Genomic DNA, 24,538 nt, shown 5'->3' with positions numbered 1-24,538 from the left:
ACAGCATGAAAGCAGCCATAGACAGTATGTAAATAAGCATAGCTGCATCCATATAAAACTTCATTTATGGAGTCAATTTGAATTTCATATAATTTTCACGTCATGAAATATCCTTTTTTGATTTTTAAAAAATCATTTCAAAATATAAAATTCATTCTTAGCTCATGGGCCATACAAAAATAGGTGGTGGACCATAATATCTCAACCGCTGGTCTCAGCCTCACTGCTGAGGATAATGAGTAGCTGTGCACAAATAGTTACTTCATCAGTGCTTCCCCAGCTAGGGACAGAGCTACGCTCACCAGTCATTTAGCCTGCTAGGCAGAACTCTGGAATTCTGATTCAACTTCTGCCCTGATGCTTTCCAGCTGTGACCTTGGGCTCTAGTCACACGATATCAGAGTCTCAGGCTGCTCATTTCCAAAACAGTGATACAAAATTTTTTTCTGCCTTCTTCATGGCACTGGTGCAAACTGCATATGAACGTCTTCATAGTCTGATTGCTGGTTTCCTCTGTGGCCTCCATTTGCAAAAAGTACATTAACATTTTAATCATCCTTCACCAAACATTTCTGGAAGACCTATTCTATGCCAGTCTGAGCCCTTGGGGATATACAGATGACTGAGAACTAGACCTTGCCCTCACAGCAAAAAAAAAAAAAAAAAAAAAAAGCAAAAGAAAGAGAAAAAGAGAGAGAGAACTAGGAGGTATTGTGGCCCAAGTGTAACAGAGGAGGGATGGAATGAGCAAGGGTGGGAGAGACTAGCTCTGCTGGGATGGAGATGGAACAGTGGGAGACTCAGCAAAGGTCCCCCAGAGAAAATGCCAACAAAGCAGGTCTGGGGAGGAGGGTGTCTTGGGATGGCTTGCAAAGCATGATGACAAAGAGCAGCATAGAGAATTTGGGAAGCTTAAATTACTAAGTATGGGGAGCCCACCATGGGTGAAGGACTCCATCAGGAAAGGAGGCTGGAGAGAGAGGATAGAGAAGGGAGGGAGAACTTTGTGTGCCATGTTAAAGAGTGTGGATTTTTTTCCCTATAAAGGAAGGAGAGTCATCAAGGGGTTTAGTCAGGGTTATAACATGATCAGCTCTGGGCTCTAGAATATTCACTCTGGGGGCAAATGTGGAGGAGGAAATAATTGGGGGGAGGGTAGTGGTGGAGATAAGGGGGCCTCTGTGATAATCCTGATGAGCAATGAAGGGGAGTTAAACTATAGGATAATAGCACTAAGGCTAGGAGAACAAAGATACTTTTAGAAAATGTGTATATTAAATTAAAAGAATATTTTGAAGGCTGGGCGCAGTGGCTCGCGCCTATAGTCCCTCGGCCTTTGGGAGGTCGAGGCAGATGGATGGATTGCTTGAGCCCATGAGTTAGAGACCAGCCAGGGCAATGTGGTGAAATCCTGTCTTTACAAGAAATATAAAAATTAGCTGGTGTGGTGGCACATGCTTGTAGTTCCAGCTACTCGGGAGGCTAAAATGGAAGGATTGCCTGGGAGGCGGAGGCTGCAGTGAGCTGAGGGCGCCACTGCCCTCCAGCCTGAGCAACAAAGTGAGACCCTCAAAAAAAAAAAAAAAAAAAGAATATTTTGAAAGCAGAATAATATTAGACTACACTGGAAAAGCATGGTACTTAAAGGTATTGAATTTTTTTGTAAGTAAATAAAAAGATATACACAAACACACACACAAATTGTCGGACCCAAATTCCCTAAGTTTAGGTGTTTGCCTTCAAATTTTCTTCAAATTGGAGAGCCTATGCAACTGATTGTCAACAAAATGCAATGCTTAAAATTTCTGGGTAACTCATTATAGTTTTGATATCTAAAGAGGATCATTGACAGAGCTTTCTCACAGTATTTATTACCAAATGGAAAAGTGTCAGTTTCTGCTGAGACTTTGATGACCCTTTGCTTAAATCTTGGTTCTCCATAGAATACATTGTGATTTATGTTTTTGTTTCAGAAAAAGGTCCAAGCATGAAGGAACCAAATCCAATTTCTCCACGTAAGTCTTTATGCAACTATTTCGAAATAAAACCTCCTGGGCTTTCCTAAGAATGAGTTGGTTAGTGAACATTTGCCAAACTTTGAGTTTTGATAAGGAGACTTCTGCTCTCATTCCCCCTTCCCCCTTCCCCTTTCCCCTTTTTGCTCATATTTTTTCCTTTCCTCTGTCCTTTGTTTATCCCTGCTTTCTTTTTCCCTTTCACCTTTACCACTTTAAAATATTAATTTGTTGATCCATTGGCATGTATGGCTTGAATGGGAAGGTAGTAACTTATTTAGAGAGACAAGTTAATGACTTGCATGCTTATGTCTGCTCTAACCTGCAAGAATTCACATACAGCCATGGAAGTGGTTTGCTTTAAGTCTTATCAACAATATTTATCTGCTCAGAGGCGTAATGCTAAGGGAACTCATTGCTATACTTTCAAGACAATCCGTAGTGCAAGGGCTGGGGGCCCCAGGAAGAGCATGTAAGAATGAAAGAGAAAGCAACACCAATTGCTGCAGAATAAGGACTTGGAAATTGTCTAGGCCAATTTCATTATTTTATGCAGAAGAAAATGCTGACCCAGAAATATTCCTGCCTCATTGGCATTGAGGCAGGACTTCAACCTGGACTTCCCAGCTGTCCACCCAGAGCTCTTCTAGATAATGTTGTCTTGTGAGGAGAATTTGTGAATCTGTGCTTTTTTTCCTTTCCTAAGATTCCCAGGATTAGTCTCCGTGGCTGATTCACTACATTTAACAATCAGTCTGGAAAGTTCCTTTCACAAAGCACTTCATAAACCATTGTCTTAAGTGGATTATTTTTTTTAAATTATGGAACAATATGAACTCAAACAGAGGCACATATGGACACATATCTATCTTTGGAGATTTAGAATAGTTTCATTAAAAACTTGTAATCATGTTCAATTTTTGCATCTGTGGGTATAAAAAGGCAAATCATCTTCTAATATCAGTTTTAAGGACTAGATTAAATAGGTTGATGGCTCGGTTCAACTTCACCTCCAGGGAGCTCTTCCCACCTCTTCCTCCACCTGACTTCAGCAGGTGACTAAAGCTATCCGCATTTTTCAGAAGGTAAATGAACACACCAAAGAGCACAGGTCTAGAAGAGTGGGGACCAGAACTTGGGAGTTCGGATCCTTCCAGACTTGTTCCACCACAGCATACTTTCCCCGAGCCTTTGGAGTGCTGGGCTGCCCAAAGGTCACAGGAGTGTATGGCAGTCTTCAATGTAAAAAAAAAATAGCTTTCTTTACACTGAAGTGAGTTGAAAGGCAGGGATTTAATTTATACAGAGATCACTGGAGTTGCTTCTGACTGGAGCAGAAAGTAGAAATAATATGATAATAGTGGGGAGATCCTGTATTTCCCACTTATATTCAAAACCCAGAGACCTTAGAAATTGTATTCTACCTAAAACTCCTCCCCCTTGGAAACCAATTTTAACTTTTTATAAGTGACTCAAAGAAGGTAGTTCTCTTAAATGAAAGGAAATGTTCTATTTCTGGGGCCTGGAATTAATTTCAAATATAAAAACCTTTGCCAAATGGAGAAACAATTGGTTCTATTTATATGTTTTGCTGACCATAAAACTGACATCACTCCCCACTGGGAAGTATTTCCGTTCCCCTTATAGAAAGATCATGGTTGGAAAAGTGTTAAAAAGTAGGTTGTTTTAAATGATACAATATGAAGCTGTTAAGATTAAGAGTTTAATATGAGGAGATCGGTGAAATGTTATAATCCACAGGAATAGTTTATTTTTATTCTATATTCTCCTTTCTTTCTGTTATCTTTCATACTTGTAAATGTTCACAAAAATATGTGTATAAAGTATTCTAAGGTGTGTGTTTTCTGTGCAGTGTGTCATTTTTGGAGATGTTCAGTGAATAAGCAGCAGTAAGCCAGATTTTGATCATGGAAGTTCACTTTATTTTCCAAAGCATCTTAACCTGTGAATTTTCAAGCTACCCTCCATTCAAATAGTAGGTCCTTAGAGTGAGACAATGAGATGACAGACAAGATTTTACTGAGTTTGCAAATCTGATTTTTTAGTTAGTTTGTTGATCAAAATAAATTGCAAACTGAGAATACTTTGGAAACCTGATAATTTCATTTAACCTTTGAAAAAAATTTGCAAGTTACAAAATACAGTGTATTTTATTGGAATCTTCATTGCATTCTCCGATTTTATTAGTGCTCAACCTTTATGACAGTGCTTGTGAAACAAATATAAAATTGCAATGCATGATGCAGACTAACCAAAAAGTTGTGTGTATCGGTTTCTCTCCTTTATAGCAATTTTCCATGGTCTGGACACCCTAACCGTGATGGGCATTGCGTTTGCAGCCTTTGTGATCGGAGCACTCCTGACGGGGGCCTTGTGGTACATCTATTCTCACACAGGTTAGTGTGACTGTTGAGTAAGAGTTGGTGAACAGCTTGTGTTCCTGCCACACAATAGACACTCAGTGTTTTGTTGGATGAAATAACGAATGAAAGAGAAAGTTCATTCCTACTATTTTTACATTTACATATTTGGTATAAATTGGGTTTCACAAAAGTATAATTTGCCATAAACAGTGGAAAGAAAAGGAAGGTTTAAACTGTGCTAATTGCGATTGTGATGTTGGTGAAATTTAGCCGCTAATAAAGCTACTTTGTTGTTAGAGTTTAAGGTTAATGCAGACAACGTACAGAAATACAAACCATTCCGTCAAAACCAAAGACTTAAGGATAGGCATATACATGAGAGGAAGTGAAAAAGAAAGCCAAGATTTTATTACCACACCTGCCAAGGTATTGAGCACTGTCCATCAGAGTCCTTAATCAATGACTTAAACCAGATTTTCTCAACCTTTTTTTAACCCATGCTATGTCTTCTTTGATAAAACATAAAATTTTCATGTTTTTCTATAAAGTTAAATTTTCTAAATAGATTTCCATGAACTGAAAAAAAAAAAAAAAGTGATGAAACAGAGCACTTCATTTTCAAGCTATTATCCCTCAATCTTCAAAATTCAGATGTGCTCCTCCCTACCAATCCCAAGGTTGAAACATACTAGCCTGATGAGAGAACCTGTTCTGACCCCAATACAGAATGCAGGCCAGCAAAGGGAGTCTTTAGTGCAATGGAGAAAGAACAAATGGATTGTCCTGCTATTGATTCTTTCTTAGTTTCCTTTCAACTATGGGCAGGAGTGACATGCATTTTGCGGCATTCTGGAGAACTAGAATGTATAAAATCGGTCTTGTTCTTGTTTGTTCTTGGATCCTTGTAGTTTTATACTGTGAACCTAGATAAACTGTGCTAGATTGATCCGTCAGAGGCAAGTGGCAGGCCCAGCTTCTCTGTTTATAATTTCATTAATTGTCCATTAAACCAATGAATGCCATGATCTTTGGCTTCCCCTTGGGCCAAGCTGAAAGGATGGCTGATTTAAAGAGGAAGGAAGTACTGAAGGATATTTTGGAGAGTCATATCTTTACCCTCTTGATTGCTAGACAAAACGTCAAGCTGTTGAGAATAAAAGCATGACACAGTGATCCTCTGATAGTTAAAAGTGTCAGATTCAAATCAGAATTTTCACTTTAAATACTACATCTCCTGCCTGAGGTATTTTAGATTACGCCAGAAGGAGAGGAATGGACTCTTTCATGCCTAGCATGGGACATTCACCCAAAAGGCAACCTCTTGGCAAAAATGTAGAAGACTTGAATAGAGAGACTTTGAGTCCTCAAATGCTTGTTCCTAGTCAGGATACTTTGAGTAAAGTATGTTTACGTGAAAGATTAAAAAATGACTTCTCATAATCCTAGCATTTTGGGAGGCAGGGGCGGGAGGATCACTTGAGCCCAGGAGTTCAAGACCAGCCTGGGCAACATAGTGAAACCATGTCTCTACAAAAAAACACAAAAACTAGCATGGCGTGGTGGTGTGCATCTCTTGTCCCAGCTGGCTGAGGTGGGGATCGCTTGAACCTGGGAGGTTGAGGCTGAAGTGAGCTGTGATGGTGCCACTGCACTCCAGCCTGGGCGACAGAGAGAGAAGTTGTCTCAAAATAAATAAGACTCCAGTGTCATGATTCTGGAGTATTATATAACCATCTGTGAATCAGTTTAGGAGGATTCTCCCTCATGAACAGTTTATAAAAGGACCAGAAAGACAGAATTTAGCAGAGCAGCATTTTAAAGTAAGTAATTTTGTCGCAGGAATACCGACATGTTCAGATCTCAAGCTAACAGTTCTTTGCAACTTTTCCAACCTCCTGCCTGGCTGAGAGGTTCTAGGGCTGTTGGCAGCCTGTGTTGGCTGTTGGGAGTGAGTTTGAAAGTCCTCCAAGAAGACTGGGTCACCCACAGATGTTTACCATGTGCCTGCTCAGCCACTGACTGGCCTTGGTCACACAGCTGCACTCTCATAGCTAATCTTGGGCCAGGAAGCCAGGTCCAGGCAGAATATAGGGCAACCAGATAATACTCACTACTGGAACATGCCCCACTGAAATCCCCCCAATAATCCAGACTGTTACCCACAGCCAAGCACACAAACCTGATAAAAAGCAAAACTTGGTGGTATGGCATGTATTCATCCTCATTGAATTTGGAAGTCTGTTGTTACTGATCCTTTTTCCCCCAAGCCAGAGACTTCAGGAGGGCCTTTCAAGTACTGTTAATGTAGAAATAGGTTTGTAAGTAAATTTAAGAAAAATGAAACCAAAGACCTCCCTCCTGTGATGCTTTCCAGCAAAATGAATTACACTGATTCAGAAGGTAAAAGGTTTATAGACACTGTCATTTGGGCTTAAAATCCATTGGCATGACTTATGAGACAGCTTCAAAATTACTTTTTATTAAAAACTGTAGCCTCTGGTTCATTTTATAGATTGCTCTTGAGGAATACCAGCATCATACAAGCATGAAGAAGACTCACTTCAGGACCACATGATAGTTCTTTTCCAGAACCCCTTCAGTTTGTTACCTGGGTCAGCTAGCAGCAATTTAGATTAATAAGGAAGATTATAATGCAGTGGGCAATGGGGAGAGCCAGGATACAAATACTGACTCAGTCCGTTCAATTTCAACAGTGATTGAAGCTGTGGAACTCACAGATCGTATATGCTGTATTTGGGGGTTCAGATAGCATCTGCCTCTGTGTGAAAAACAATCCTTAATTTGAATAACTTTTCCTTTGTTTACGCTTTCCATTCCATGTGCAGCACGGAGCACAAAACCAAGTCACAAATTTGGATTGTGGATATCTACTTACATACCTGGAATGTGTGTTACTCTACAAAGACTGGGTTCCCACTTTATCATATGACAACTCTGGGCACAATAAGAGATATTCCCTTAAGGCTGGATTAATTCTGTTTGGAAAACTCCATTCCTAAAACTTACATTCTCTCCTAAGATGCTGTAGAGAGGAGGGGTGCTTGGGGGCTGAAATGGTGCTGGAACCATAGAATGTTCATGCTCCTAGGAACCCTACCTAGTTCAGGGGTCCCTAACTTCTAGTCCATGAAGGTCCCTAAAGTCACATGCAAAATCTTATCTGTTTTTTTCTTGAAGGGAGGAACAAATGCTTTTATTTTTATTTTCTAGTAAAACTTTTTAGCTTCATCAAAGTAGTACATGCAAATAGTTTAAAGGTTGAAATAATCCTACAAGACTCATTATGAAAAAAAAATCACACCCCTACTGTCCTTACCTTCTTTTCTCACTCCCCAGAGCATTATTTTTGGCGCTTAGCTCATCCTTTTGGATGTTAATCCATACTTCTAAATAACCTGAGTATATTGCTGCTTTTTGACTTTGCAGGTTTACACCTTTGCTCTAGACCTCCTGTTATGGAAAATGTCCCCTTCCCCCACCATCCTCTTAATAGAAATATACTGACATTTTGGTTAGAGCAGCATTTACTGTTTACATTATTATGACTACCTAAATGCTAATCACAGTTAACTCATGTAGTATAATATCCTGCATGACTTTTAATTTTCCCTAGAATTAATTATTATCTTTCCCCACCCTACCCCATTAGCTTAATTTTCTTTTCTTTTTTTTCTTTTTTTTGTTTTGAGACGGAGTCTCGCTCTGTCACCCGGGCTGGAGTGCAATGGCGCAATCTTGGCTCACTGCAAGCTCCGCCTCTCAGGTTCCTGCCATTCTCCTTCCTCAGTCATCAGCTTAATTTTCTATGTATTTATCATTAATTCTTCTGCTGACCCTGCCAGCTGTCTCAATCTCCTTTTAATACATTGAGACATATGGAATGTTCTACTGATTCCTTTTCTTCAGCTCTTTCCTGGAGCCTCTGACCTGCTCCTGTCTGAACCGGTTCCCTCCATTTCTGGACACTGCTGTCTTCCTATGATCTTCTTCGCTACCATTCTGTGCATTCCCTTCACTTCTCTTTTGAGTTGTGGATGTCCTGTGTCATGTATCTCCTGCCTTTCTTCTTCCTGGTTTAAAGCGTACAGAGGACGCAAATGTTTTTCACACCTTGCATGTCTGAAAATATCCTCATTTAACAGAAACACCTGGTAGACAGTTTGGCAAGGTACAGAATGTTAGATTATAGACACTTTTTCCTTCGGACTTTTGAAAGCCCTCCTCATTGTCTTCTAGCTCTGAGGATTGCTGTTGAGAAGTTCAGAGCTGTGCAGATTCCTGATCCCTTTTGTATATAACCTGTTTTTTCTTTCTGGAAGAAATTTTACAATGATATCTCTTGAGTTAGGTGTATGTTTATACATTATGCTGGTCACTAATTGGGCCCTTTCAGTTTAGAAACTCATATCTTTCAGTACTGAGATTTTTAAGAATGATTTATTTTTTTCTCACCCCCTTTTTTCTGTTTTCTCTCATTTTAGAAATCATTTTATTTGAAAGTTGAACCTCTTGTCCTTTAATTTTCCTTTCTTTCCTGTTTTCCATGTGTCTGCTTTCTTTATTTTCTGGGAGATTGTCTCATCTTTATCTTTCAGTTTTTTACTGAGTTTTTAATACTGGCTTCAAATTTTTTAATTCCAATAACTTTTTTAATTCTAATAACTTTTTTCCTGTGAATTTCTTTTCTTTTAAAAAAAGTTCTATTCTTGTTTCATGGGTGCAGTATCATCTGAGAATATTAATATAGGATTATTTAAGAATGAGGAAAAAAAAAGAATGAGGAAATTCTAAGCTGTGGGTGGGATGTATTGATTGTGAACTTCTTTAAGATGATCTGACTGGGCCATTTTATTGATGAATCCCTGATACCTCATCATTGGATCTTTCCTCTTTAGCTCTTCAGGCTTCCATAAAATATGTTTTTTTGCCTCCTGCTTGAAAGGTATAGGACTGGCTGTTGAAAGACCATTATAATGGGCACTGATAAAAATAAACTGACATGGCAACAAATTATATTTGGCAAATAGACACCGGAAAGCAAATATCCAGACTTCCCGGCCAGGGTATAATCCTGGCGCTTTTCCCGAATGCAAATAGTGAAGCGCATGGCAAATTCTGCAGGAGACAAATTTGTTACAAAGTAGGACTGGAACCCTACTTTCTTGATTCAGAGTTTCACTGTTGCTAGATGAGGCAAGGCCATCTGGCTTTATCTCCTTTTAGGCTGAGCAAAAGAAGCCCAGGTGAGCCAAAATACGTATTAATATATGTTTGCCGAATCCCCCCCTTTTGAATGTGGTACTCTTGCCCTCAAATGTGCCTGGTGTTGATCATTTCTGGAACCTTCAGTTTCCTCCTCTTAAGAGAGTAAAATTCCCGTCTTCTTCCTGGATTAGGAAGGGCAGATCTCAGCCCAGTGGAGCGAGGGAGGAAATGTAGAGAACTATTCTGCTTCTCATATAGTTCAGCCAACCCCTCTTGCTTATAGCCATATGTTCAAGGGAGGTTTCCAGAGGTGCCTGATGCCACCATTCCCTGAGTTTTTTAAGGGTTCGGCGACATAAATTGCTTGTTTCTCAGTTTTTCCCACTGTTGGCTTAGGTTTCGGCTCTCTTGAGTCTGCCAAGTCAGTTGCTACTCACCCATTTCCTCACCAGCTTCCAATATATTTTATTGCTGTTATCTTTACTTTTGTTATCTTTGTTTTCATGTGTTTATGCCTTTAAAAGTCCATTTACTGTCATTCTGGTAAGATTTGGGAAAGGAATGCAAGTCAATGCCTTTAAATGCACTATCTCTATGCAAAGTCGTACCCTTGCTTTTTTTTTTTTTTTTTTTTTTTTAATCAGTTTCTTAAAGGGAGTCCTTGGAAAATTACTAGTCTGCATCAGCATTTCCTTTTTACGTAGCGAGAAAACTGAGCCCAGAGAACTGATGTGACAAGCTCAAAGTTACCCAGGCACAGCGGCCAGGACTGAAGGCTTGCTTTCTTGATTCAGAGTTCACTCTTTTCTTCCTGTTCTGTTATTACAAATTCAAAGGTCACGTAGCCATAATCTTTTTATCCTCCTTCTGCTTATCAGATAATAAACATTAATTAACATGTGTTTCGGTTTTTCTTTTTGCCTCTGTTTAGTGTCAGCTAAATTTTTTTGGTTTGTTCACTCATGTATTCGTTCTTTCACTCAACTTATTCAATGGATTTTTTAAGCTATTGTTAAATGCCAACGCTATTCTAGGCACTGGTAAAATAGCCATGAGCAACAGAAAGTCCTTGCTGTCGTGGAGTTCCCATATATTCAGAGGAAGAGAATAACCAAACAGACTGATTATAAGCAGATTGGCTCAGGCAGAAACCCAGCTACAGGCACACATGCCAACCTTTAGGAAAGCAATGACCTGATGAACTGTGTCAGAAAAATGGAGAACTGACAAGGGAAGTCTCACTGGAGAAAGAAGAAGTGTTTCTAATCTGAAGAATTAAGTTTTCTATTAACCTTTTATGGAAACTGAGGGGAGGGTGAGAAGAAGGGGGAAGGGTATGAATGGCCAGATGCTCCGGGAGGTGCTTTGTTTTTTGAGAGAAAAAGACACACCAATAGACACCAGGAAAGCCGAAGGCATTCATCTTAACCTCTGTGTTTAATGGTTTTATAAAATAATGATATGGGCATTTGAGTGAAAAGAGAGTGGAGCCTGCCTTCTTTACAGTCACATTGGGGTTTCCGTCTGTTCCAGCTGCATCTGTCTGATCCCTGGGACTTGGTCTCTTGCCTCCTACCTTATCACACCTTAGTCTGTCTGCTTGCTGTTTCTCTTTTCATCGGGCTACACTTGGGAACCTGGAGAAACCTCAGGCCTCTGAACACATTGGCACCTCCCGAGCTACTTCTAATGAAAACCTCTTACCTGACTTGGGTGGACTTTTGGGTATGCGCTTGACTTTTGCTTTAAGAACACATGGTGTGTTCCATGGAGGGTTGTTGAAAACTGCCTGATGAGTTGGGACGGGCACACCTAATTCAAAACTTCAGCATTTTATTATGCTCTGTGAAACAGTGTTCCTTACACGCTTAGATTTTTTTTCTGCTTACACATCAGAGCAGCCTTAAAGTTGAAAAAGCTTTTATTACGCATTTCTTGTTTTAAGTACGCTCACCCTAATAACCCTGTGAAGTAGTGATTATCTCTGTGTTGACTAAAGGGAAACACAACTAATATACCTACTAAGGTAGCAAGTCTAGCCATTGAACAAACCAGAGCTTCAAGTCCAGTTTCTGACTCAGGGTTGTAGCGATAGCTGTGGAGGACAGCCTTCCTCCTCCACCTGATTTCTCTTTCCCTCTTGCTTTTCTTCTTCTTCTTAGTTATTATCAGATTTTGCATCCTATTCAGGGGCCACAAAGGCAGGGAAGATACCACAGAAAACCAAAGTCCATATACAAACAGGTTGGCCACACTGCAGGAATATAGAAAGAAAGTAGTAGGCAGGACATTGTGAAAAACTTTAATTCTTGATATAGTCTTTTCCCCGTGACTTCTAACAACATCTAACTCACCCCTCCTGGAGAATTTTGCTGCAAAAGAAGAGTCTTTTGTGTGGAGGCTGGGGAGGAATGAAATTTGAAAATGATAAAAAGTGATTGAAGACTTCTCTAAATTAAAGGTAGTATCGTTCACTCTGCTTAAAGAGTGAGCTTGTGAATTAATTACAGTTAGGAGATCAAGAAACTGAGACATTAATTGATAGAAAATCGCATCCAACACGTAGATCTAGAAGAAAATATCTTTATTTTCTTTCTAGCATCAAGGAATATTAAATCTAAAGTGTCCCCAGGTATATGGTTTTCAATCCTGTGCTTAAATATCTCCTGAGAAGGAGATTCCATAAATTCCCTCTATAACTAACCAATCCTCATAATCAGCAAGTTCTTTTCTATCTGATCTAAATCCCTAGTCCTGCCATTTAAACTCATTTCCTCATGTTCTGCCCTCCAGGGAGATAAAGAACAGCTGTCTGCTCCTATTTGTAATAATCCTCATGGAGAGTATTTGCAATAGTCTCCTTTGGCCTAAATACCAAGCTTGCCCTCACCTTTCTTTTTAACTCTTCTCTTGTTTCCCCACAGAGTCCTCCCATGCTATTCACATCTTTCTTGAATAGTTTCTTCCCCAGGACCTGCCATGGTGAAAGACTTAGAAATAAGAATACAGTTGTAATATAGACGCCAAAGAGGTAGCAGGAAGTCAGATCTGGGCAACTCCATGCCATGCTAAAGAAATAAAACATTCTCCATTAAGAAATGTTTTTTGTTTGTTTGTTTTTGCTTCTTTTTTTCTTCTTCCCCCTGGTAGAGACAGGGTCTCTCTCTGTTGCCCAGGTTGGAGTGCAGAGGCTCTTCACAGGTGAGATCATAGCTCACTGCAGTCTCTAACTCCTGGCCTCAGGAGATCCTCCCCCTTCAGCCTCCTAAGCTGGCACTGTAAGTGACTGCACCTGGCTTTGTTTTTCTATTTCTTGAGGCATCTCTGGCAGTATCTAGGCCCAGCCATAGGCTAACTGTGAGATGGGTGGAATTAATCCTTAGTGTCCTTATCCTCAGTGTACTCTCCTCCTCCAGAGTATGTCAGGCACCAAATTCCTCTCTCCCCTACTCACTCTCCCTCCTCTCAAATCTCTGTTCCCTCAATGTGGTTTGATATTTTAGGAGGAAAGCAGGAAGACTGAGTACATTTCCTCTGCTGGCCAAGTCTGATATTTATTTACAAGCAAGGCGCCCTCCTTGAATTTCTTAGATGTGTTAATTGGGCCTAGTCTGCTTAGCCACGAGGTCCTCCCTGCCCATCTCCTTTAGGAGCAGCCTTGTTATACTTGTCACCCAAGGGATGTTTTAGAGAAAGTTGGTGCTCCACGAAATCAGAGACCACTGCAGTGGAGAGCAGACAGCCAAAGACCCATCTCAGAAAACCCAGGGGTCTCTGTTGGCCCATTAAGTAGAAGCATCTGTACATTCAACTTTCTTCCTCATGGTGAATTTTTCTGTAGCATCACTTCCATTTGACAGTGAAAAAACTTAATCTGTCAAAAGGTAAGAGTTATTTTTAAAACATGGTTATATTGAGAAACCTTGCATCTTACATGTGAAAATAGCCACAGAACTGGAAAGGATGGTCTGAAGAGGGGACTTTCAATATTTCCCAGCAGATTCTCAGACAGAGACTCACCTTGGCCCATTATTGGATCAAAGTCAATATAATATTAGGTTAACTTGACTTATCCAGCTGGTGAGATGCATCCTGCAGTCTTGAGTGCGGAGGCTTCTTTGTTTTGTTTGGGGTTTTGTTTTGAAGTGTTTTGCATTACCAGAACAAGAGTTCCCAAAACTCGGGAAGTTGAAAGGTCTCTTTAATGGGCACGGATGAAAATAAACTGACATGGCAACAAATTATATTTGGCAAATAGACATCGGAAAGCAGATATTCAGGCTTCCTGGGCAGGGCATAGTCCTGGCACTTTTCCTGAATGTGAATAATCAAGCACAGGGCAGATCCTGGAGGAGCACACTTGCTCCCTATTGCTTGATGAAGCAAGGCCTTCTCTTTTACCTGCTGTTGGGCTGAGCAAACAAAGCCCAGGTGAGCCAAAAAAGAAAAAGATGGAGTTGGCCTCCTGCTTTTCAGATGTATCCTTATTAAAATAGGAAAAAATATTTTTAAAATGTGGTTCATGCATAGCCACATTAGTCCTTCTGATTGATTATGTGAGGATCCAGCTGGGTATGGACCAACATGTGGTTTGTAAGGGAGTCAAATTCTTAAAGTATATCTAGAGTTGTTTGGGTCTCTGGAGGTTGTTTTTGTTTTGACCTCAGAATAGTTAAGAGATTTGATTCCCTTCTAGAAATAAAGCTCCTACTCTGGGGAAAGTGAATTTTTGGCAGAAAGTTATTGCCATGGAGGCTAATTTCCCCAGCCTTAATTATACACACACATGAAGAGTAGAGGGCAGTGCTGGGGAGGGTCCAAAACATAGGTTTCCAAAAAAGTCAAAAGCAGTGTTTCAGCCGGGCGTGGTGGCTCACGCCTGTAATCCCAGCACTATGGAAGGCCAAGGTGGGCCGATCACGAGGTCAGGAGATCGATACCATCCTGGCTAACACAGTGAAATCGTGTCTCTACTAAAAATACAAAAAATTAGCCAGGCATGGTGGCACATGCCTGTAGTCCCAGGTACTCGGGAGGCTGAGACAGGAGAATTGCTTGAACCCGGGGGGTGGAGGTTGCAGTGAGCCAAGATCATGCCACTGCAGTCCATCCTAGGGGACAGAGCGAGACTCCGTCTCACAAAAAAAAAAAAAAAAAAAAAAAGGCAGTGCTTCTCCGCTTCTCAGGAATATTGACCCCAGTCCCCTATCCATCCCGCCAATCCCAGAAGAAAAGATAATTAGAGGAAGTACAACAAGGGCCAAACTTACAACAAGCACATAAATACTTTGAGGTTGATGCAAAAGTGTGTATAGCTGTGTGGTTCATGAAAGGGGTGACAGGAAAAGCTGTAACCAGACCCAGGGACATGAGCCAGTTCTACATTTTGCAGAACTGCTTTTTTCACAGAGGCTTTTGAGGGGCCCCAGAAAGAGAATGGAAGTAATGGGGCCAAGTTCCTGCACTGGAGGGCAGGGCCTTTCCTCGAGTGTTTTGTTTTAATGAAGCAGCTGGAAGGGTTGCTTATCTCCGGCTGATAGATGTGTATTTCAGCATGACAGGAAAGAGGAGGCTCATTCATAAACAGGCCTGGCCCTCTGGGGTTTCCCACATTGAAGGAGGGGATGCTGCTTACAAGAAGTTTATGAAGTTTATGCTCTGACTTTTCAAAGTAAATGCAGTGTTTTTTATTGGAGAGCCCTGATCGCTTTTCCCTACCTAGAGCCATTTTTTGAGGGTTGCACTGAGGCCGGTTTTGCCGAAGAGAAGACTAACTCTAGGGCCTTTTGCACTGTTAAATGCAAACCATGTGTGTGACTTGAGGTTTCCTTCCTCTCCAAAGCACTGCACATTTGGCACGATGAATGGCTTTAGCTAAAATGCAGTGGGGTGTGTAATGAAAAGTGGGATGCTTAAAGTGTTAGGAGATACTCACACTGCACCCCACAGGGAACCTCAGTGGGGAAGAGAGGCCATTCGCTGGCAACTGCAGTCCCCATGTGCAAACAGCTAAACCCCTTCCCCAAAAGGTTTTTCCAATAGCAGCTATCCCCCACCCCGGTTTCTCAGGTAATTTATCTGTTTGGCACACAAGGCTCTCTCTACTGTAGCTAGGACAAAGTCTATATTTCACTCCTGTTTTTAACAAGTGCATTCAGAACAAGGCTCCCAAACTTCCAGGGTTCTCTTAACTACAATTGAAAGGTCACACCCTCCAAATCCTACAGTGTCTTTATGAGAGAAGATGGACAGTGTTTCCTGAATACAGGTGCTGGTCAGTTGCCAGCTCACACAGACCAAGTGGTGGTGATTTCATCAAAGGTTGTGGACCCTGAAATCCAGGGACTTTGTCATCAACTCTCAGGGGTCTTAGCCACTAGAGCTGCCTGTCAGTCAGCTGTCTTCTTTTTCCCATTCATGATGCTTTAAAAATAAAACAACAAATAGCAAAACCTTATTTTAGAAGGTATTCCAGCCATCTAGGACCTAGTCTAGTTGCTTCTGCCCTGGTTGAGAAAAATATCAGTTAAAATGGCAAATGCGGAATAAATGATCTTTTCAGGAATGCACATACATAATATGCGTCTTTCTCTGACTCTGCCTTTTCTTTATTAACTGCAGGGGAGACAGCAGGAAGGCAGCAAGTCCCCACCTCCCCGCCAGCCTCGGAAAACAGCAGTGCTGCCCACAGCATCGGCAGCACGCAGAGCACGCCTTGCTCCAGCAGCAGCACGGCCTAGCCCAACCCAGCCCAACCCGGCCCAACCCAGCCCAGCCCAGCTCAGCTCAGCTACTGCCAAGGGCAGGACCAATGGCTGAGCCTCGTGTCCAGACTCAGAGGGCTGGATTTTGGTTCCCTTGTAAAGACAGAGTGAATTTCAGTATAAAGATCACCCGTTGTATTCACCCCACACCCAGGGCTAGTATAAACATGACCCTGGGCTTCTGTACCACACTAGAATTCATGTGAGAAAGCTAAAATGGTGGTCTTCTCCACCAGCCCCTCACAGGCTTGGGGGTTTTCAATGTGAAACACATGCCAGTTTTTAAAATGCTGCTTTGTCCAGGTGAGAACATCCATAATTTGGGGCCCTGAGTTTTACCCAGACTCAAGGAGTTGGTAAAGGGTTAATAGCCAGATAGTAGAACCAGTGAGGAGATGCGGCCAAAGATTCTTTATATCTGAACCAAGATGTAAAACAAGAAATGCTTTGAGGCTTTCTAAGCGATCCTCCTGTCTAATTTGCACCTTTGTCTGGATGCACACTTCTGACCTTGCTGCCACAACCTGTGGGGTCTGATGTGTCCCTTGATGGGTGCTGCCCTCAGGGACTGCACCCTGACAAGTGTTAAGGCAACATTCCTTTCTTGTGCCCTGGGCCAAAACCAATGCTGATGACCTTATCAGCTTCCTGTTTCTTCCCATACTTGCATACACCACTGCAAAATGTCTTAATGCAAATTTTGTATTTCTTACAGGCCTACAGAAATTGAAAATGACCAAAATCAGGAACCACAGATTTGTGCCCATTCCTAATATTTTGTTCTGCAAATTAATGTATAATTTGAGGTGAAATTCAGTTATAAAGTCAAGGACGAATTTGCACAGTGATATATTTCTATGTGTATGCAAGTACAAGTATATAATATGTCACCTGGCACATTCATTTTCTCAGTTGAAGAAGAGAAAATTTGAAAATGTCCTTATGCTTTTAGAGTTGCAACTTAAGTATATTTGGTAGGGTGAGTGTTTCCACTCAAAATATGTCAACTTAAAAAAAAATAGGCCCTTTCATAAAAACCAAACTGTAGCAAGATGCAAATGCATGGCAAATCCTGTCGGTCTCCAGTTGGTTATCTGAATAGTGTCACCAATTCCACCAAGACAGTGCTGAGATTGGAAAAGGGCACTCATTTGGATTGCCTTACTTCTCTTGCCTTAAATATATCCCATATATTTAATATGTCAAAAAGGGCTTGAGGTGAATTTCATTAAATGGAATAATATGATGCCACTTTGCAGCTAAAATAAGCTCAGTGATACCTCCTTGTTAAAAAAAAAAAAAAAAAAAAAGAATGCCAGGGGGGAATTATCATGCTAAATTATTTTACTGCTGAAGATAGCTTCATTGCAAATTATTCTTTTTCCAGAATTTCCCCCAAACAACTTAGAATTCCATAAGTAGAACAAGATAGATTCTACCCCCAAAATATTCATAAGCAAATCCCACTGCCCTTAAAATAAGGAAGTTATGCCTGGTTGTCTGTGAATGGAACCTCAGTAGGTAATCCTGATGAAGCTTAAAACCTTAGGGCAGTGTCTACATGGGAAACAAGTATGTGGAAATTGACAATCATTTTTACCAAATCGTTGAGTAATAATATGACTTACCTGATAGATATACACATTCAATAAGGAACATTTTTTTTTTTCAATAAGGAACATTTTAACTAAAACATTACTTTAGGGCTGAGATTTCCAGGCTATCTACATTGATCTACTGAAAAATTTCTAGATTTCCATATACAAACGAAGAAGACATGAGTTTAGAGAATTTTTTTCCTTTAATTTTTTTTTAACAGAAGGGTATCAGAGTGGAGGACCTAGATTACGCTACCTGTGTTTGAAAATATTGCGCTTTGCCTAACCTTCGGTGGAATGTATTGTTTCAGCATATTCTATGTATAAAAAAGTTTAAAGATGTCTTCAAAGAAGACTAGAGTCTTTAAGTCACTTATAGCTATATTTTACTACAAAATTTGTGTATAAAGATATATTTAAGTGTTTTAGATAAATTTAAGTTACTCCATATGAAATGTTTAATTTCAGCTACTGTGAATTCTTTCGATCAGTCCTTTGCTTTTTTAAAAAATCTTTTCCATCGTGTTAAAAAGAAAATTAGCTATTAGGAGATATTAAAAGATTGATGTCTTAGAAGGACAGGGTTAAAACCTTCTGTAATATATTTAAATATATATTTTTAAGAGAGATGCTACATTGCCAATGATTTTATAAATAATTTAAAATTAATTTACAAATTTATAGATGCAAACCAAAAGATCTTTTTAAAAGAGAGAGAGAGGAAAAAAATCACCTTTTATTTGTTTGGGTCTCATTGTCAGAATTATTATTCAGATCAAGAAATCTGTGTCGATAAAACCTAATCTCATATTGGAGAGTGAATGTCGTTAAGTATTTCTGAAATGTTTCTAAAAAATGAACATGAAAAAAATAAGGTATTTTCTCCCTAGCTTCTCATTACAGTATTTCTAATTGCTTCACACTTTACAGTTTTAATACAAAGTACAAGCTCTACTTTTATAACGTGTACTACAAGTTTCTTTAAAAGTATTGTTGTATTTCAGCTGAACTCTTGTATCTGCAGTCTTTTGTTATTTCTGCAGGCTACACCCTTAATTTGCAGAGGCCATTTTGTTGTTTGTTTGATGCTGAAGCTGTTGTTAAAATGCCCCAAACTCCAAGGCAGATTGTCTGTATAATACGCTATAGCTTTTCACCATGTGGTGTTTACCAGCTGTTACTCTGTATTTTAAAAAGCCAGAGATTTCTTCTGTCTAAACTGTTTCTATAGCATTTTCTAAACAAAAAAAATGGTTTTTTTCTTTGCCTTGTAATAAGATTGTAAATCCATTTCCTGCTTGTGTTCTTAGTGGGCATGATTGTGAGTGTGTGTGGGGTGCTCACACGCGTGCCAGTCTTTTTGTACTGTAACTACCTCATGGTTTGAATGATGATTGTACTGCTGGTTGTGTTAACAGAGCACATTTTGTTGGGTGAGTCCTATGTGATTTTTTTCATGTTTGTTTTATCTGGGGGTTGTTCATGAAACTGACAGATGTTTTTCTAAAAAGGACTATTATCAGTTTCCAAATACAATACTTCTCTCTTCTGGTTTTTCCTGAATGAGCCTGATTTTGTTGCTGGTTTTCATCATCTATGAGGGTAAAACGAGTACCCTTAAAATCCCTGTGGCCAGTTTGAACACCCCTGTTGTATTCTTTTCTCTGTTCAGTGTGTCAGCTATTTTGTGAAGATGCTTAGATGTATAGTTTTGATAACCACAGTTTTAAATCTTTTATCTGTGCATAATAAAAAGATATATATCAGTTATTAATATGTGTCTTGTTATCATTAAATTCTACCCTAAGGCTCATGTAACTTTTTTCACTGTGACTTTCTCCTGAATGGATCGTCTGCTCCGTGTTGATGAGGAAGTGGGAGGAGAAAGGCTAAGAGGTCCAGAGCAGAGGGAAGGGCGGATGGACTAGAAGAAGAGTGCAGCAGGAGCTGTCGCTCTTCTCAGAAAAACATGGCAGGAGACTTGGAAGTGGGTGTCTCACCCTGGAAACCATTCCTGGGCCTTCTGTCAATCTCCCAGAGTCAAAGAAAGAAACATAATATACATTTAAGGTCTACTATTTTCAGCCCCTTCAAATACCCCATTGCTGCTTCCAGCATTCCGTATCTCCATATGGTACCACCGTCTTCCAGTTGTCCAAGCCAGAAACCTGGGAATCTAACTACAGCCTCTTTGGCTCCCCTCTTCCCAAATCAATAAGTCCGAGTGTTATTCTACCTCTAAAATGTCTCTTTCTTCAAACCACTGACTTATTCCTACTCTGACTGTTGTTACACACTGCTCAAGAGCCATTGTCTCTTGAGTCACTGCAGCAGCCTCCTAACTGGTATGCCGACTTTCCATTTTGCTCCCTTCAATTCTTTCTCCACCATGCAGCCAAAGTAATCCTAAAAAGACTCCATTTTGAGGCCTTTAGGTAATTGCCCCATTTGCCTTCAGGATACAGTTCAGATTCCTAAGCATGGTTCCGAGGAGGCTAATCTGCCTGCTTTCCCAGCTACTTCTCTCACCTCTCCGGAGCTCAGTTCTATTTGGCATCCTCACCCCCAGACAAATTTGTAATGAAAAAAGTTCTCGTTCAGTATCAAATATTACATTACAGCATTGAATATGCATTTACAGGCCACACTCCCCTTTTGAGATTTTTAGTGACTCAGATGATTTGGCATCAAGGCCAGCAGCCCATCCCTCACATGTTACACAGGTGGGTACCCACAGAGCCGGAACAGTGTTAAGCTCCATTTTACAGCTACGGTGCCCCCTGCAACCAGCTCCTCTTAGGATATGTGGGAGTAATTGGCAGGTCAATGAATTTTTTTTGCCATTAAACTCTCCTTGTGTCTACTGGAGTCAAAACCTGGGTGATTAATAAATGGGCTTCAGAGAGTCTGTGAAGTGGCTGGAATTGTATGTAGGATTTTATTGCAGCTATGTCTCGGCTGTTGTTTTTGGTGAGAGTCCATAGGCTTTTTGTAAGAAAAAATTATCTTTCTTGTTCACACAATATATATATATAAAATGAATGCAAAGAATACAGACATGTAGCAATGAAAAGGCCTCCATAATCCTCCAACTTGAATATAAGAATACCGATTTAGTGTATGTGTTCCCAGATGTTTCCTTAATTCATATCAACATGTCCATGTCATTAAATAAGATTGGATTATGGCCCGGTGCAGTGGCTCATGCCTGTAATCCCAGTACTTTGGGAGGCCAAGGTGGGTGGATCACTTGGGGTAAGGAGTTCGAGACCAGCCTGGCCAACATAGTGAAACCCTGTCTCTACTAAAAATACAAAAATTAGCGGGGCGGGGTGGCATGCGTCTGTATCCCAGCTACTCAGAAGGCTGAGACACGAGAATCTTTGAACCCAGGAGGTGGAGATTCCAGTGAGTTGAGATCATGTCACCGCACTCCAGCCTGGGTGACAGAGGAAGGCCCTGTCTCAAAAAAAAAAAAAAAAAAAAATTGGATTATAACAGTTGTGACTTGCTTTTTTCTTTTTTCTTTTTTTTTTTTTTTTTTTTGAGACAGGGTCTCATTGTGTCACCCAAAGCTAATTTTTATATTTTCAGTAGAGATGGGGTTTCTACTAAACCCAAGGCAAATTTTTATATTTTTAGTAGAGAAAAGGTTTCACCATGTTGGCCAGGCTGGTCTCGAACTCCTAACTTCAAGTGATCCACCCATCTCGGCCTCCCAAAGTGCTGGGATTACAGGCGTGAGCCACCACGCCCAGCCTGTGACTTGCTTTTTTCATATGGCATATCTTTCTCAGGGCTCCTAAGATGACTGCTGATCATCATCATTTTCTTATTAGGCTTAACTTAAATTGCCCAAATAAAAATATGGTTCTCATAGGAAGTGAAATACAAAGATATTTGTTAACGCTACCCTTCCTACTCCCTCCAGTCACTTACCTAGAGGAGCTGATGTTAACAGCCTTTTTTCAAACTCAAACATATTGAAACGTGTTCATGAATATAGAAGTTTTTGTTTCGTTTACTAAAAATGGGATCACAATATACATACTCTGCAACTTGCCTTTTTCACTTAACATCGACCTCCTGTAGATTATTAGATACGGAACAAATTTCATGTTTTTTGGTGGCTGCATAATATTTTTTACAATGAATTCAGCCAATTCACTAGTAATGACATTTTAGTTTTTTGCCAAGATATTCTGCTGCAGTTAATATCCTTATATATTATGTTCTCACACTCCAATGCTTTAAAGCAAAAAAAAAAAAAAAAGTGACAGAATTATAAAAATTATAAAGAGGAAAAAGAGGAACTGACAAATTCATCACAGTAGGATATTTTAACATATCACTCTCAGAAGTTGACAAGTCAAAAATATTTGGATATGGAAGATTTGAACAATGTAATTAAGCTTGATTAAGATCCATACATAGAATCCTGTGTCCCCCCAATTTGACAATTTTGTATATACCACTCCTGGAACTATAATGGCATTCTCAGCAAATATCACAAAATTTAATCATACTGATCAGGTTACTTAATCACAATGCAAATAGTTTAAAAATGAATACGAAAATAATTTTTAAATACTCAATACATTTAGGAATTTAAAAACACTTTACAGCCGGGCGCAGTGGCTCACACCTGTAATCCCAGCACTTTGGGAGGCCAAGGTGGGCGGAGCACAAGGTCAGGAGATCGAGACCAGCCTGGCCAACATGGTGAAACCCTGTCTCTACTAAAATACAAAAAAATTAGCCGGGCGTGGTGGCGGGCGCCTGTAGTCGCAGCTACTCGGGAGGCTGAGGCAGACGAATCGCTTGAACTTGGGAGGCAGAGGTTGCAGCGAGCCAAGATTGCGCCACTGCACTCCAGCCTGGTGACAGAGCACAACTCTGTCTCCAAAAAAAAAAAAAAAAAAAAAAAAAAAAACACTTTATATGTTCTGACAATCAGTTAAATGGAAAAAAAAAAACCAAAAACACTTCTAAATAATTCATGGCTCAAAGAAGTCATAATGAAAATTGGATTGGGAGGCTGAGGCGGGTGGATCACCTGAGGCCAGGAGTTCAAGACCAGCCTGGCCAACATAGTGAAACCACATCTCTACCAGAAATACAAAAATTAGCTGGGGATGGTGGCATGGGCCTGTAGTCCCAGCTACTCAGGAGGCTTAGGCAAGGGCATCACTTCAACCTGGGAGGCAGAGGTTGCAGTGAGCCGAGATTGCGCCACTGCACTCCAGCCTGGGTGAAAGAGCAAGACTCCATCTCAAGAAAAAAAAAAGAAAAAGAAAAAAGAAAATTAGAAGATTAGACTTGAACAGTGAAAATACTACATTCAAACATGCGGCTAAAGCAGGTAACTTATGAGAAACTTAAATTGCTCTAAGTTGTACATTGGAAAAAAAAGATTGAAAATGTAACAGTATCCAACATGGCAAGTTAATTATTACTTTAAAAGACTATTGGAGATAGGTAAAAATTAAGTAAAAGTAAACACATGCATTAGAAGATAAAAAAAGACACAACAGATATAGCAGAAATTTTAATCAATAAGGGATCATCATAAACTTTATTTTAATAAATTAGAAAACACAATGTGGGTGATGTGTCAGGGACAGTCAGAGTTCTGTTGGGTAAACAAAAACCACTCTGATTATTTCAACAGAAAGAAATGAACGTGAGGACTTGGTGTAGCAGATGTTGAAGGGCTGAAAAGGTGAACAGAGATTGCTGAGGGCCCAGGGCAGGGATTATCAGAGCGGGAAGTTGAGCGTGGCTTGCCCAGTCCCACTACCAGCATCATCAAGCAGATAGGGAGCTAGGAGACAAAAACTTAGTGGATGGCACTGATGACTTCCTAGTAAAAATGCAATGTTGCAAAACTATTTCAAGAAGCAATAAAAATTGAAAATAAATCTTTAATAAATCTTTACATTTAAGAAAAGTAAGATCTAGGAGGCTTATGGGAAAAATAAAATAAAAAATAAAAAGTAAAAACTAAATTAAAATCTACTCACAACAAAATAGAACACAAAATTTAAAACAAACAAACAAAAAACACCACCAAGCCCAGCTGGTTTTACAGGTAAATTCTACCAAGTAGTCAAAGAACAGATAATGCCAAGATCCTGGTGTTTCTTTTATTCCTGGGATGGCAGGTCAAAGAGAATGAGTTTTTTATATTAATCTTAATATTTATTGCCACATTACTTTCTCTAAAGGTTTTTGAAAATCACGCCATCACTACAGGCAATGTATGAGTGCCCATTCCCTGGCTTCCTCATCAACATTGCCTACGTTGAAACAGAAGTTTGGGCTCTAGGCATCAGATTTAAATCTTGGTGCTACCATTTGCTAGGTGAACTGTTTCCGTGATATTAAAAAAAATCTACACTTTAGCATTGTTGTCAATATTAAATGAGCTAGTCCACATAAAGTTCTTAGCCTATACTAATCACTTAATAAATATTACCCACTATTAAATTTTGCCAATCTGATGGTTGAAAATTGTATCTCATTTGGATTTGTATTATCTGCAATGACTA

At 39.9% G+C, this 24,538-nt stretch overlaps 1 protein-coding gene across 12 annotated transcripts in view, besides 2 other annotated features; it reads left to right on the top strand.

Annotated features, from left to right (window-relative positions):
• Nucleotides 1-19,761, top strand: part of TGFBR3 (transforming growth factor beta receptor 3) — a 225,660-nt gene extending 205,899 nt beyond the window's left edge. For all 12 annotated transcript variants that reach the window (NR_036634.2, NM_001195684.1, XM_047429247.1 and 9 more), the window contains 3 exons: nucleotides 1,974-2,015; nucleotides 4,325-4,432; nucleotides 16,247-19,761. Coding sequence is in view for 11 of the 12 variants with exons in the window: in NM_001195684.1 (NP_001182613.1) it covers nucleotides 1,974-2,015; nucleotides 4,325-4,432; nucleotides 16,247-16,365 (269 nt within the window). In the remaining variant the exon portion in view is untranslated. The remainder of the gene's footprint in view (nucleotides 1-1,973; nucleotides 2,016-4,324; nucleotides 4,433-16,246) is intronic.
• Nucleotides 15,286-15,365: an enhancer, noted in NCBI's record as "active region_1306". NCBI's record gives its function as "activates an Ori minimal core promoter by ATAC-STARR-seq in GM12878 lymphoblastoid cells {active_cell/tissue: GM12878}" and the evidence as "EXISTENCE:reporter gene assay evidence [ECO:0000049][PMID:35858748]".
• Nucleotides 15,845-16,348: an enhancer, noted in NCBI's record as "H3K4me1 hESC enhancer chr1:92149313-92149816 (GRCh37/hg19 assembly coordinates)". NCBI's record gives its function as "activates a minimal SCP1, AML or CMV promoter by ChIP-STARR-seq in primed H9 embryonic stem cells {active_cell/tissue: H9 hESC(primed)}" and the evidence as "EXISTENCE:reporter gene assay evidence [ECO:0000049][PMID:30033119]".

Source organism: Homo sapiens, chromosome 1 (genome assembly GCF_000001405.40).
Source record: "Homo sapiens chromosome 1, GRCh38.p14 Primary Assembly".
NCBI classification, from domain to species: domain Eukaryota; kingdom Metazoa; phylum Chordata; class Mammalia; order Primates; family Hominidae; genus Homo; species Homo sapiens.
Note: the sequence above shows the minus strand (reverse complement) of the source record. Positions and strands in the feature narration are given on the sequence as shown.